Source organism: Homo sapiens, chromosome 4 (genome assembly GCF_000001405.40).
Source record: "Homo sapiens chromosome 4, GRCh38.p14 Primary Assembly".
NCBI lineage: Eukaryota > Metazoa > Chordata > Mammalia > Primates > Hominidae > Homo > Homo sapiens.
Window position 1 is genome coordinate 138737422 of NC_000004.12, and position 16227 is coordinate 138753648.

General features: G+C 41.3%; 1 annotated feature.

Moving 5' to 3' along the window:
* Window positions 1515-2159: an enhancer, noted in NCBI's record as "H3K27ac hESC enhancer chr4:139660090-139660734 (GRCh37/hg19 assembly coordinates)". NCBI's record gives its function as "activates a minimal SCP1, AML or CMV promoter by ChIP-STARR-seq in primed H9 embryonic stem cells {active_cell/tissue: H9 hESC(primed)}" and the evidence as "EXISTENCE:reporter gene assay evidence [ECO:0000049][PMID:30033119]".

Consider the following 16227-nt stretch of genomic DNA (forward strand, 5'->3'; position numbering starts at 1 on the left):
TGTACTAAGGATATTGTGAATCCTTTTTGAATCTTCATGACAACCTTGGAAATTAGTATTAATAGAAATATTATTTCTATTTTAGAGAAAAAGAATTGAGAATCAAAGACCTATTTACCAGTTTCACAAAGCTAACAATTAGTGCAAGTAGGATCTGAACACAGGTCCATTAAGCTAAAAATTGCTAGCTCACCCCCCACTAGACCACGCAACATCCTTTACAAGAGAAAGGTTCAATAAAACCAGCATGCACTCATTCTGGTCTACAAATATGCACTCAGTGTTAGATGACTTGTTATGCTTAACTGAATAAGTGCTGCCAGTGACAACAGCTTGGTTGCTTCTATAATCTGTACTCTGGAAGTAATATTCATATGTCTGTGTCATGACCTTTGTGGGTACTTTTTAGGTAGCTCTCTTGTGAAGCTAACATTGCCTGTTTTGTAGATTCCACATTTGTTGAATGGTCTGATGTTGGTAATTATCTCTACCACCACCAAGAACAACAACAGATTGTGTCTTGTTATTCTCTGCAGCCACTAACACAGCACCTTGCATAGAACTGGTAGTAAATGATTACTGAATCAAACTGAAATATATTGAACTGAATTGAATTGTCTTGAATTAAGAGACCAGGTAGCATGTTCACATCATTTTTGGCTCAAATAACTATTGAGCACTGTATGCCAGGTGACACTGTATTTCCTAGTATAATCCAGGCTGTTTCATTTTCCTCCAACATCTTTAAAATAGAAAACAAGAACCCATTGTTTGTTATTTTACCATGGACCCCTATAACTTGAGATATAACAGTATTTAATATTTTTTAACGTTGCCATTTAGAGCTACAAGTCAGTATTATAGACAAGTCTACCTTCTGTGTTACTTTTTCCCCCATTGGGAAAGTGGAAATATGAACATTTTACCCTAGAATCTTTTCAATTATGAAAATTTAATTATTGAGTTATGTGTGGCATTGCAGGTTTGGAGGAAGAGTGGGAATCTGAAACAATATCAAGATGCTCTGTGATTTACTCCCTAGCGTGATCGGACTTCCTCTGCAACTTGGGTTAGAGCCCTGAGAACCACAGTCCCTGAGTGATTTAGTCTGCTGGTGTCTGATTCTTCTAACTCCTTTTCCACATGGCCATGACCAATGTGGCCATTCAATGTGGCCATTCGTAAGATATGCGAATTCTCAGGGATGTAATTAAGGAGGCACTGGGATGCTTTCATCAAAGGACAGTTTATCCGCTGCAGCTCTACTGCTGTTGTGCAGGTTAACTACTTGGCAGTCCGTTCATGTCCTGGAGTCAATCTGTGTTTAAAGAATGGAGGTGCTCCCTCTCCCTCTCCCCCTCCCCCTCCCCCTCTCCCCACAGTCTCCCTCTCCCTCTTTTTCCACCGTCTCCCTCTGATGCCCAGCCGAAGCTGGACTGTACTGCTGCCATCTCTGCTCACTGCAACCTCCCTGCCTGATTCTCCTGCCTCAGCCTGCGGAGTGCCTGCGACTGCAGGCGCGTGCCCCCACGCCTGACTGGTTTTCGTATTTTTTGCGGGGAGACGGGGTTTCGCTGTGTTGGCCGGGCTGGTCTCCAGCTCCTAACCGCGAGTGATCTGCCAGCCTCGGCTCCCGAGGTGCCGGGATTGCAGATGGAGTCTCATTCACTCAGTGCTCAATGTTGCCCAGGCTGGAGTGCAGTGGCGTGATCTCGGCTTGCTACAACCTCCACCTCCCAGCCGCCTGCCTTGGCCTCCCAAAGTGCCGAGATTGCAGCCTCTGCCCGGCCGCCACCCCGTCTGGGAAGTGAGGAGCGTCTCTGCCCGGCTGCCCCGTCTGAGAAGTGAGGAGCCCCTCCGCCCGGCAGCCGCCCCGTCTGAGAAGTGAGGAGCCCCTCTGCCCGGCAGCCGCCCCGTCTGAGAAGTGAGGAGCCCCTCCGCCCGGCAGCCGCCCCGTCTGAGAAGTGAGGAGCCCCTCCGCCCGGCAGCCGCCCCGTCTGAGAAGTGAGGAGCCCCTCTGCCTGGCAGCCGCCCCGTCTGGGAAGTAAGGAGCGTCTCCGCCCGGCAGCCGCCCCGTCCGGGAGGGAGGTGGGGGGCAGCCCCCACCCGGCCAGCCGCCCCATCAAGGAGGTGGGGGGCACCTCTGCCCGGCCGCCCCTTCTGGGAAGTGAGGAGCCCCTCTGCCCGGCCGCCACCCCGTCTGGGAGGTGTACCCAACAGCTCATTGAGAACGGGCCATGATGACGATGGTGGTTTTGTCGAATAGAAAAGGGGGAAATGTGGGGAAAAGATTGAGAAATCAGATTGTTGCTGTGTCTGTGTAGAAAGAAGTAGACATAGGAGACTCCATTTTGTTCTGTACTAAGAAAAATTCTTCTGCCTTGGGATGCTGTTGATCTATGACCTTACCCCCAACCTGGTGCTCTCTGAAACATGTGCTGTGTCCACTCAGGGTTAAATGGATTAAGGGCAGTGCAAGATGTGCTTTGTTAAACAGATGCTTGAAGGCAGCATGCTCGTTAAGAGTCATCACCACTCCCTAATCTCAAGTACGCAGGGACACAAACACTGAGGAAGGCCCCAGGGTCCTCTGCCTAGGAAAACCAGAGACCTTTGTTCACTTGTTTATCTGCTGACCTTCCCTCCACTATTGTCCTATGACCCTGCCAAATCCCCCTCTGCGAGAAACACCCAAGAATGATCAATTAAAAAAAAAGAACGGAGGTGAGTGGGCAGGACAGGGCAGTTTATCTTTGCTACGCTCTCATTTATTATCGCATTGCTTCCTCACATGGCACTACCTCAGCTGATCAAAATCAGGGATCACATATCACCAGAGTTATTGGGATGAAAGGCAAAATACATTTTTTGTTCACTGTACGTAAGAGTATTTAAAATAATCATGGCAATAAATCAGATGGAAATACCCAAACATAGAAGAGGCTTATTCTGGAGCAGGAATTACTTTCTTCTTTTGCTAGCTTCCCATGACAGTTACAGACATCTTCCCAATATATGAATATTCTCAGTGATCAGATTGGCTTGGAAAATTGTGTCAGTCCACACACGGCCTGCAGCCAACAAATCTGCTCTTTATTTCAAACAGGGAATGGTCGGTTATCAGCAGGAGAAGTTCAGCTCTATTCCACTTCCTGACATAAGGCCATAACCCTTTGAAAGACTTCAGCATAAAGATGGTCTACTAAAATAGCATTGATTTAAATCATGCTTTCTCTCTGTCCCTCCTAAATGTCAACACAATCAAAATTTATTGGATGCCCATCATGCTCCAATAAGGTCAAAGTGAGAGGCCAGAAAAAGTATGAAAGAGACAGAGGCGAGTAAGAAGGGCAGATAGACTAGAGGAAATGCAACTCTGAAAAAAATCCTGAAGATTTTTGAAAATACCAGAAATCAAACCACTGAAATCAAACAGGTACAACAAAGTGAAAGCAGAAATTTTTTCATCCATTGAAAAGACATGACAAGTCAATCAACGTAAATGTGACAGACTAGGACCCTCAACACAGAAAACTTGAAGCAAAAACTGTGCCAGGAAGACAGATGGAATTCATCATTCCATTGCAGTATCCTGAAATACACAGGGCTTTGCAAACTATCCCTCTGAACTATGGGAGTAACATCATTTAACACAGTCATTAAATGCAAGAGCCATAACATGTATAGTAATCATGTGAAGGTGACAGCAGTCTGCTGAAAAACACTCAGGACATCTCAAACTTTGCCAGCAGACTCAACAAAGAAAACTGTACAAGGCTCCCTCACATGGCTGAAAAGCTGCCTTTCCATCTAAAGCTATTCAGAAGAGACTATAAGCCCCAACTTAGCATCATTCAATAAGCACGTGATCAGGAATGATTCAGTGGAGAATGACAATCTATGTGCCCAGGGATTGAACATAGGCTCCACTAAATAGTAGAGGCGGTGGGGTACAGAAGGCATTGGGAGAGGTTTACATGGCCAGTCTGTTTTGAGAAGATATGGCTTTCTTAGGAGCCTCCAGCACAGAGTATTTTTGCTGCAACGAAATGTTGTTTTGGAACAAGCCATTCCAGCACACAACAGCATGAACTAACAAAGCCTGGAGTCCAGTGGAGGCCACCTCCTCACCCTGTTACATTAACTGCTGCTAGTGTTGCTATGACAACTTTTCAAAGTAGCCTTACTGGGGACCAGAGTAAAAAAAAACCCTACAGGCACAGATTATGTCTACAGGACATGAAAGAGATGGTCAATGCAGTGGAGGGTAAATGGTCAAGACAGCTCTTAAACATTATTTAGAAACCCTCCACCCCCAATTTAAAAAATTGTCTGAAATGTTCACTTACATTATCATGAAAGTATACAAAAGTTTCTTTATAAACTTTAATATGATAATTACATAGGACCCCGAAAAGTTGCCCTTTCTGATTCCTATGATCAAAATGTAATTTTTCTTTGTCCCAGTGCAAGTGTCCCACATTGCAAGAGACTTTTATAACCCACTTGATATTCAAGCCGCATGAGAGAGGATATTTGATACAGAGAACCAAGTGGAAAAATGAGATCAGTAAGTTTACATGCCACAGTGGCATGTGACACATATCCTATGGTCAAGGACAAGCAATTCAAATAATAAGACGGATGATAAAGAACTCTTCCTTGTTTCCCAATTTTATCAAGAAAAAAATTACTTCCCTTAGTAATTATTTATTTTCCAGTTTCCACACGTGGTTCTCATGATAATTGCTGACTTTGTAAAATGTTAGAACACTGACACTTATGTAAAGCAAAGTGGCTTTTGACATTTATGAAGTGGTGGTTCTCTATAAATATAGAAAAGGGGTAATCATCACAAGAACTACTCAATGGAATAGATCAATAGTGAAGACAAATACTCTTCTTTCATTGAAATTCAGAAGGCAAAAAACGTCCATTTTTTATCTCTTTGATAAACTAGCACATTCTGTGACTTGCCAAATAAGATTTAAGATCACAGCTATGACACAGACACAGGGAAATTTTAGGAAGAAAGGAATCATAGGTCAACTTGGTCTATTTCCTCTCCTCGTATAGATCTATATATAGATATATGTATGTGATCACCTTTGGAGACAGATAGTGGTAGGTATACTGTCACTCACCTTATGATCTCCTGTAAAAAAAAATCATCAGTTGTGGGTAGCTCGTAACACAACATAAGCAGTGATATCTATCACAAAATTGCTGGAAAAGCAGATAAGCTTTGAAGAGTGATTTGGGGAATATAAAGTACAAATTGTGCTTCCATTTTCAGTGACATTCTTTTCCTCACAACCAGAGACCAGTGCTGGAGAAGGCACAGTGGCAGTCAGTTCCCCTGTGGAGACCACAAGCAGCCTAGGCCAGAAGCTTCTCAAAGAGCTGAAATTGGGCATTTATGCATATTTGCCAATTCACCCCTTGTTAGGCTTGCCTATGATATGCGTGGAGGCCAAGCAGCCATAGGCCAGAAAGCAGTTGCCAAACAAGGATAGGCTGTGCCCATCTCAGGAACTCAGCTTGAATGTTGGGTTAATTTTAGCCTTACACAGCATCAGCATGGCTCTTCGACCCTTCTCCCTCACCTCTTTCATCGTATTTTAATATCTTAAAGGGTCAGAGATTTGATTACTATCAAGGAGGTTCCAATTCCCATATGGGTGATATAGGACTCTCGAAACATGTCTGGCGGCATGTTTCATTTATGAACAAATATTTATGGAGCACCTACTCTGAATATGTATGTGAGAGTGTGTGGTTCAGTGGCCAAAAGTGTGTGCCCTGGAATCAGGCTGCCTGATTCAAACCCTGACTGCCATTTGCCAGGTGGGTTAGCCTTGGTCAAATGGGCAATTAAAAATCCTGTGCCTCAATCTCCTCACCTATAAAACGGAGATAACAGTAGCACCCACTTCTTATAAATCCTGTGAGGATTAAGAAGTTAACACATGAGATGCACCTCAACAGTGCCTGGTGTACACTGGCCTTGGGAAGTATCAGCTCTATGTCTTCCCTGGCACAGGCTGGTGCCCACTAATAAATAGGGTGAATTTGTAGCTTCCCATTTCATATCCCTTATCCAGCCTGTCCTACTTGACCCACATCTCATCCCCAAAGAAATAAATGAAATAGAGCATTCTTCTATTTATTATTTTTCCATTTAGCCTAAGGTATACAACTAAGTACAGAATAAACTGTTCATTGTACCTCAGTCTTTCCAAGTTATTTACCATAATTAATTTCAGGGTCCAATAAGACAAATGATTTTTAAAAATAGTTTGTTCCACCTTCAAAATGGAAAATTCTAACTTTCCAATGTGCAATCCTGTTATTCATAAGGATACCTAACCTTTATTGAGTATTTACTATATGCTAGGCATTATGTTAAGCACTTATAAACTTTCCCTCTTAATCCTTATAAAAATCCCAAGAAGTGGGTGTTAGTTGCCCCAGTTTATAGATAAGGAAATTGAAGCTGATAAGGACTACTATCTTGACTAATCTCATACATGTAATAGAGTAACACCAACTGCTATAACAACAAACCCCAAATCTCAGTGGCTTGTAAAAGTAAAACTTTCTTGCTCCTGTCCCAGCCTGATGCAGGACAGTAAGGGTGAGAGGGTGAGTGAGCTGTGCTACCTGAAGTCATTCAAGGATCCAGGCTCCTTCTAACTTCTGGGTCCTTTTCCAGGTTCACTTCAGTCTTCTCCATTCAGCTGGCTAAGTGAGGATCACACATGCAAAGGTATTTTTCTGGCCCAGGCCCGATGATGGCATACACTGCTCCTGTGCTCATTTTAGTGGCCAGAATGTAGTCATATGATCACACCCCAACTGCAAGGGAGATGTGGAATCATGTCATCCTAGGTGTTCATACTTGCAGTCTCCGAGCTGCACTGCTAGGAAATAGCAGAGCCAGGACTTGAACCAGATCCACCAGGCTCCAAAGCCCTTCCTGGTACCCACCACACTATTCATATCTGCATTAGCCTTTCAGATTTCCCTGCATTGCTCTGCCATCTGACTTCTCAACAGATTGCAAGGCTAACTCACTCTATCTAAAGTTGTACTTGTGAAATTTAAAAAACAAGTTTTATATATACCTAGTTGTATATAACTATTTTCTTGACATGATTTATTTCATCTCATCTAGAAAATAGTTAAGAACACCGTATAACTTGTATTGACCTACCTCCATCTCTCACCAGCCTTTGACTTCATACACAGGGACTGTCTCTGACTGAAACAGTACAACCTCCAAAGGGATTCCAAAGTATTACTGTCTCTTCAAAGCTCATATCAAAATATTACTACTATACTAAATGTAAATTTGTCACACATGACATTCAAATTATTTGTATGATTTGTTTAGTCATCTTCATGCAAATATTAATTGGATTTTTTTCCTTAAACTAAGCAAATAAAGACATTGATGACCCATCTTATCAATAAGTGATAAACATCACGAGAATCCTTTAAGAACAGTGTTCACAGACTGATGTGTTGATGCTACACTGAAAAAAATCTGATGACGGATGTAGCAAAGATTATTCTAATCAATGCAGGTCTACAAAATGATTAAACATTAGGAAAGGCTTGTGCCACTACACACTAGCACCATCAATGTCTGGCAAACATCCTAAATATAAATGGAAGAATCTAACTGAATGATTAATTCTGCTACTTGAGCAACACGCTATTGGAGACCAATTTGGGAAACACATCAATCCCTAATAATAAAAGCCTTTATGCTCAACGATTGAGAAATTTTTATTTACGTCATTATTTCCATTTACCAAATACTTTCCACTGTCTACCTTCTTAGCACAGGGCAGTTTATTCCCCCCATCTCTTTGAAGTTTGACATAGCCGTGTGACTTGCTCTGGTTTATAAAGTGTGAGTGGAAATGACAATTGTCATGTCCAGGCAAAATCTTTAAGAGCAAGTACACAATTTGCCACCCATTTTCCTGCTCTGGTGGATTAAAAATGGCTATAAATTCTCTATTACTTCAGAGTCAAGAAGCGGACTCCGTTTCCCCTCCTTTTGCCTCTGAGTTAGCGCTCTGACTTGCTTTTTCCTCAAGAAGCCTTGAAACTTCACCTCTTACTCTTTCTTGGGACTATACTACCATGTACACAAGTCTAGGCTAGTATCTTTGAAGATGATAGACCAGATGGTTTGAGAGATCCATCCATCCCAGCTGTCCCAGCAATCTGAATTGCTGGGACAATTGGCCAGTCCCCAGCCAATGCACCAACTGACTGTAGGTGCCTGAGCCGCTCCAGGCAAGAACGGCAGAACTGCCCTGCAAAGACCAACCCAAGTTGCAAAATAGTACGCAAATAAATCGTTGTTTTTGTAAGCCACTGAATTTTAGAGTTATTTGTTACATAATAACAATAGGTAACTGAGATACCAGCCCAGGGAACTGTAGAAGCATCTATGGAGCTTCAGCAGCCTGGATTTCTGAGTGAGGATGACATAGACCAGAGTCCTTCAGTCCATGATGAATGTGTAATGTGTAGTAAGAGTCAGAAATAACCCTGTGTCGGCCAGGCAAAGTGGCTCATGCCTGTAATCCCAGCACTTTGAGAGGCCAAGGTGAGGGGGATCATGAAACCCATCTCTACTAAAAATACAAAATAATTAGCCAGGTGTGATGGTGGATGCCTGTAATCCCAGCTACTCAGGAGGCTGAGGCAGAAGAATTGCTTGAACCCAGGAGGCAGAGGTTGCAGTGAGCTGAGATCATGCCACTGCACTCCAGCCTAGGCGAGAGAGCATCAGAGCAAGACTCCATCTCAAAAAAAAAAAAAAAAAAAAAGGAAGAACCCTGGGTCATTTAAGCCACTGAGATTTTGAAGTTGTTTTCTTCTGTGGTTTAACCTAGCCATTCCTTACTGATTCAGAAATTGGTACCAACAAGTGGAATTCTGCTCTGCCAGAAGAAAACTAAAATGTGAGGTCAGGCAGTGGACAGAAAGGAAACCACTATCAGAAGCTACAAGGATGTCAATACCTATTACACAGTGATACAATATGTGCTAAAATGTTCACCTGTGAAAACTCAGAAGGCAGAAAATGTGCCTAAAGGATACGTAGCTCTAAGGAAGAGTAAAGTGCACGCGAAGCAAAGTCCCATAGCCACCTAACGAGGGAACACAGCATGAGTGAGAAATAAACCCCCTAATTTTAAGACACTGAAATGTTTGCAGTCGATCATTATCAAAGCATGTCCTGATAATGCAATCCATGAGCCATGATTAACACTAAAATAGTGTCTGTCTGTACCAAAGGGGAGGAGATACCAAGTCACTGCTTTACTGTGGCCTAGGGAACAAGGTGAACCAACCAGTTGAACATAAGAAATATTGAACTGGACACAAAGCTTTTGGTTCTAGGATGCTGGGAAATGAAAACAGCAGCCAAACCTTCGAGCCTCCTGACTTTCTTGAGCAAAAGCACCAGGTAGCCTGTGGAACAAAGGGCAGTAAATAAAGAAAAGCCCAGTGAAAGAGTGGGAAAGAGTTTGTCTGGGATTTCCTCCCTTTTTAATGTTCTTGAGCCGTGTCTATTGGGAGATTTTGTTATAAATGGCAACACTGGAGAAAACATAGCTCCAAAAAAAAATAACTATTCTGTAATTCTTTTTATCAGTGGGTAAGACTGGTACAATCAAACACATAGACATTATGTAGAATGTGACTCAGAATAAAAGAAACAGTTTGGTTTTATTTTTTATTTGTATTTAGAGCTAGTTTTGAGAAATGTGATTTTTGTAAGACAGCAGGACAGAGAGGAAGCTGGTAAAAATTTACAGTGATTCTTAGACCTTCCCAAGCTTTCCCCTGATATTTTTATAGACCTGACCTCCACTCAACCTTTCTTCCTTCTGGAACTGCAACCACCATACTTGAAGTGTGCAAAAGAGGACTTAGATATCAGCAGGAACTCCAGGTAGGGGAGTAAGATTTAAGTGCAATTGATATCAGGCATCAGATAAATCTCAACCAAGGGAATGAGTCTGTCCCTTCTCAAGCAGCAGGCTTAAACATGCCCAGATCTAGGACTGATAGATGTATGCTGCTATTTCATATACACCAAGGTGACCCCATTCACTCAGGCTGCCATAGCTGTGATTATTGAATAAATGTCCCCAACCGAGAAAGAAGTGCAAAAAGTGATTCTAACAAGCTAGACTCATCATCAGAATCAACATCCCTGAGCTCCAGTGACTGAACCAAGCCAGGCTGGCCCTGTGGGGCCCAGGACTTCATCAGTTCCACTCTGTGCAGCAACAAATGGAAGTTTCCGTCCCAAAGCCCTGCTGATTCTTATGAAAATAGGCACTCCAATATTAATACTGGCTGGGCAGCTAATAAAGTAACTATCAGTTATCCAAGAATGTCATTATTCTTAGCTGCTAGTAAGGGAAAGGGCCAAGAACAAGGCAAAGGAATCCAGGGAAAGACAAATGTAACACTTAAGAAGAAATATGAGCAGAAAGGGTAATGTTAAATCATTTGATCATTTAACTAGGAAAGCATTGAATGCAAGATTCATAAAATTTGAAAAGTGGTATACTTATGATTCAAAAGATTCATTTTTTTTCCAACAAAATGGGTACCAGCACAGAATTCTAACCTTTCTGGTTAAATACAGCCTACAGAATACCAAAAAAAAAAAAAAAAGAGAGAGAGAGAAAGAAAAAAGAAAAACAGAAAAAAAAAAACCACTGTGTTAGCTTCAGGCTGAATTACTGCCCTCTCTTTAATAATGCCTGCAATTGTGAGATGTGGGGCTTTTTGATGCTGTATAGTTATCAACCTGTGAAATATCTGATTCTGTAAACTTTAAGAACATAGCAATAGCAAATCAACCAAAGTTGGAGGCTCAGTGAAAAAAGGATATCCCCAGCATTGTTCCTAGGGAAGAACTCTGCTTTTCGTCAAAAGGCCCCTGAGGCCCCTTGAAAAAGGGATAAGATGCCTTGAAACAGATTTTGATTACATTTGTCCCACTTAAAAAAAAACTCAGTAAAAAAATCAGAGGAAACAATTTTTAATACCAAACCAAATAATGTGATGGCTTTTTAATTAGTATTGGTATTATCTAGGCACAGACTGGGTGGATGATACAATGTCAAAGGAATTTTTTTCTTGCCCAAAAGTTTGGCTCTGTGCTCTTTGCTCCTTGGTTGATACCAATTTCAACAGACAAATTGTCAATTCATGGTCCACATTTTTTCACTGGTTAAAGAATAAATCCTATTATCTGAACTAATCTCTGTAACCTCATGTCCCACCTACACCCTTACAAATCCCTCCTCAGTCACCTGTGACATGGCCTTACTAGACCACTTGATGTTTCCCAAACATACCAGACTCTTACCTATCCCCATATACTGTTCTCTACTCTCAAAGCGTCCCCTTCCCACTCCATAATGTAGTAAAACCCTAATCAGATGCAGTACTAGTTATTCAATATGATTTCCTTGAACAACACCTAGCAGAATGAACAGCACACTCCCATCCCCAAAGACTTTGTTCATATAGCTACTTTATCAATCACCACAAAACCATGTGCTCCTTAAAGACAGCAATCACTCTTTAGCCATCATTCTACCCTGATTATTTAAATGAGAACTGTATTAGTTATCCATTGCTACAAAGCAAATTATCCCAAAACTTTAGTGGCTTAAAACATCATTTATTATTTCACAGCTTCTGTGAGTCAGGAATATAGGCATAGTTTAACCAGGTCTAGGTCTTCCAGCTCTGGATCTCTCAAGGGTGTAACCAAGGTGTTGGCAGAGGCTGTATTCTCATCTGAAGGCTCAGCTGGGAGTGGACCTGCTTCCAGGCTCCCTCTCAGAGTTGTCAACCAGATCGAGCTCCACACAAACTATTATCTCCCTCAGTTCCTTCCCACATAAGCCTCTCCACAGGGAAGCTCACAATAGGGTAGCTATTTTCATCAGAGCAAGCAAGTGAGAAGGAAATGAAATGACAGCAAGAGAAAGAGTGCCAGTTGAAGTTGCAGCCTTTTGTCCTGTTAGTGACACCCCAACACTTTTGCCATATTCTATTTGTTAGAAGTGAGTCACCATGTCAAGCCTGCACTCAAGGGGAGGCTATTATTACACAAGGGCATGAATACCAGGAGTCCAGATCACTGAGTGCTCATGTCAGAAGTAGCCTCTCACAAACACCTTACGTAGTATTCATTCAGTAAGGGTTTATTTATAAAAGTAAAAAAGAAATGTGACATTTTCTTCAAATATCTTTAGTTATATGATCAGTTCTGTAAACTTTAAGGATATGTAATAATGGAAATTAAACAAAGCCTATGTTTAGAAACACATTTTCAAAATTAGCACCAGAGTTTAAAAAATTGACTTGAGAGGGAAAAAAGTTCTTGCCATTCTCCCAAAATCATCTCAACCATAAAATCTGGATCAAAACTTTAAGACTGTCAATGTCCATGATTTATTATCCCAATGTTCAGGAGAAAGAAAAATGGATAGGAAAATAAGATATACACATGGTGACAAGATATTAACAACAAGTTAATCTAGATGTAGGATATGTGGATGCTCATTACTCAATTCTTTCAACTTTTCTATATGTTTTGACATTTTTCAAAACAAAAAATGGTGTGGATTGTAGATTTTAAAGAACCGTTTTACACTGCTCACTCATAAGCTAATAATATAGTCTCAAATCTAATGTGAATATATAATTTTAATAAGTAACTCTAGCTGCTGTAACTAACAAACCCAAAAGCTCAATGGCTTCTAGTGATAAATGTTTGTTTTTCACTCTTGTCATGGTCAGTATAGAGCAGATTTCCTAAATGACTCTCATTCAAACAGTACAAACTGTCATCTACAACTTACCTCTGAAGAAGAAGGTAGGTATGTGGATAATTGTAAAGGGGTTTTATGTCCAGAAGCAAAAATGGCATTCATCACTTCCCATCATAGCTCATTGACCACAAACCATTCAAATGACCCCAACCTAACTGAAAACAAGGCTGGGAAATGAGGACTTTCTATGTCAGGGAAAGGAAGTAGGACTGATAAATATCTAGCCAGTCTCTGACAGAAGAACATTGTCACTCTAGTTGCTTTCCTCGTAGATGAAGAACCTTCTTTAAATAAAGATTACACGATGAATAAGTTTCTAACAGAAACTAAAATATAGGTATACCAGCTTTCAAGTCAGTAGTTTGACAATGATTTCCAAATACTAGTTTTCTGAAGGATCAAGTCAGTACCTTGAATTAAGTTATATCAAGTTCTCAAAGAACTACCTTCAACTAGTTACATTTAGGCCTAAAGAGCATCACTGTCTTTAGATAGAGATAAGTATGTTGCCATCTTAGGAAGCTGAAGTCAGTCTGATTCAGTATTTCTTCATTCAGGCCTGAAGAGGTGGAGTTGTATTAGGAGTCTACCTCTGAAGCAAAACTTTTATGCTTATAGTGCCCAAAAATGTTTAGCAAAGCCAAAATAGAATTCAATCTCTATTTATAAGAAAGGTAAACACTATTTGTTTTCTGGGTCCAAAGTTTCTCTTGTTTGTAGCAGACACTCCTGTAGACCAGGGAGTGGGGTAAAGGAAGGTAAAGAGATGCAGCAGTGAGGGAAGGCCACCAGCAGAAGAATAATTAGAAGGCCAATCCAAATTTATACTGGTTTGTTAGGTGATGGGTTGTCATTTCAGTCCAGATGCTTTCAAGAAATTCAAAAAAAATCTAGAATTATCATATTAGTGAGGGGGGAAAAAAGTGTAAAAGTATCATGCTATGTCTTTTTACATGGTTACAATAGAAACATTCAAAGCAAAAAAAATATTTATGGGTCTGGGATGTGTGTGTATGTGTGTGTCCAAAAGAAGTCCTGTCTGATAATATTGAACAGATTGGTATAAAAAAGAAGGGCCTATATATAACCACTCCACCTTATGTATGGTCTACATTAGCACAGCAGGGGAAAGCGAATCATGCTTCTGCATCATGAATAATGAATGCAGCATATTGAGCAATGCAGTCTTTCTCTAATTGTTAACATTCTCTTTCACCAATAGAAATATCAGAGACAAAACTCTAGGACTTAAGAAGCACATATTTTGTTCCTCATGGAGAATTTGAGGTCAAGGGTATATGAAAGTATTAACTATGCCTGTACTGTCTTCTTTTTAAAAAAAAAAAAAAAATCAGGCTGGGCACGGTGGCTCACGCCTGTAATCCCAGCACTTTGGGAGACCGAGGCGGGCGGATCACGAGGTCAGGAGATCGAGACCATCCTGGCTAACACAGTGAAACCCCGTCTCTACTAAAAAACACAAAAAATTAGCCGGGCATGGTGGCGGGCGCCTGTAGTCCCAGCTACTAGGGAGGCTGAGGCAGGAGAATGGCATGAACCTGGAAGGCAGAGCTTGCAGTGAGCCGAGATCACACCACTGCACTCCAGCCTGGGTGACAGAGTGAGACTCCGTCTCAAAAAAAAAAAAAAAAATCAACTTTTATTTTACATACAGGGTGATATGGTTTGGCTCTGTGTCCCCACACAAATCTGATGTTAAATTGTAATCCCCAGTGTCATGGGAGGGACCCAGTGGGAGACGATTAGATCATGTTCTCATGATAGTTGGTGAGTTCTCACGAGATCTGGTGTGTTGGTTTGGTTTGGTTTGGTTTGGTTTGGTCTGGTTTGGTCTGGTCTGGTTTGGTTTGGTTTGGGAGACGGGGTCTCTCTATGTTGCCCAGGCTGGTCTCAAACTCCTGAGCTCAAGCCATCCACCTGTCACACCCTCCCAAAGTGCTAGGATTACAGGTGTGAGCCACCGCGCCCAGCCAAGATCTGGTTGTTTAAGTGTGTAGCACTTCCCTCTTCGCTCCCTCTCTCTCCTGCTCCTCCATGGTAAGATGTGCCTGCTTCCCCTTTGCCTTCCGCCATGATTGTAAGTTTCCTGAGGCCTCCCAGACATGCTTCCTGTATAGCCTGTGGAACTGTGAGTTAATTAAACCTCTTTTCTTCATAAATTACCCAGTCTCAGGTAGTTCTTTATAGCAGTGTGAGGACAGACTAATACACAAGTGTTACATGTACAGGGTTGTTACCTGGGTACAGAGCACCCAGGTAGTGAGCATAATACCCAATGGGTAGTTTTTCAACCAACATCCCCCTTCCTTCCTCCTCCACCCCAGTAGCCTGTAGTGTCTATTGTTCCCATGTTTATGTCTATGTGTGCTCAATGTTTAGCTCCAACCTGTAAGTGAGAACATGTGGTATTTGGTTTTCTGTTCCTGTGTTAGTTAGCTTAGGATTATGGCCTCCAGTTCCATCCATGTTGCTGCAAAAGAATGAACACTATTTCATTCTTTTTATGGTTGTATAGTATTCTATGGTGTATATGTACCACAGTTTCTTTATCCAATCCACCACTGATGGGCACCTAGGTTGATTCCATGTATTTGCTATTGTGAATAGTGTAGCAATGAACACAAGTGCATGTGTCTTTTTGGTATAATGATTTATTTTCCTTTGGGTATATACCCAGTAATGGGATTGCTGGGTCAAATTGTAGCTCTGTTTTAGGTTCTTTGACAAACCTCCAAACTGATTTCCACAGGGGCCAAACTAATTTACATTCCCACCAGCAGTGTATAAGCCAAGCCCAGTGTTGAGAAGGGTATTTCCTATGTTTTCTTCTAGGACTTTTCTAGTTTGAGGTCTTACATTTAAATCTTTAATCTATCTTGAGTTAACTTTTGTACATGGTCAAAAGTAAGGATCCAGTTTCGTTCTTCTGCATATGGTTAACCAGTTATCCCAGCACCATTTATTAAATAGGGAGTCCTTTTCCCATTGCTTGTTTTTGTCAGCCTTGTCAAAAGTAAGATGGTTGTAAGTGTATGGCTTTATTTCTGAGTTTTCTATTCTATTCCATTGCTCTATGTGTATGTCTGTATTTGTACTAATACCATGCTGTTTTGGTTACTGTAGCTTTATAGTATAGTTTGAAGTTGGATAGTATGATGCCTCTGACTTTGTTCCTTTTGCTTGGGATGGCTTTGGCTATTTGAGCTCTTTTTTGGTTCCATATGAATTTTAGGATAGGTTTTTATAATTTTATGAAGAATGATGTTGGTAGTTTGACAGGAATAGCATTGAATCTATAAATTTCTTTGGG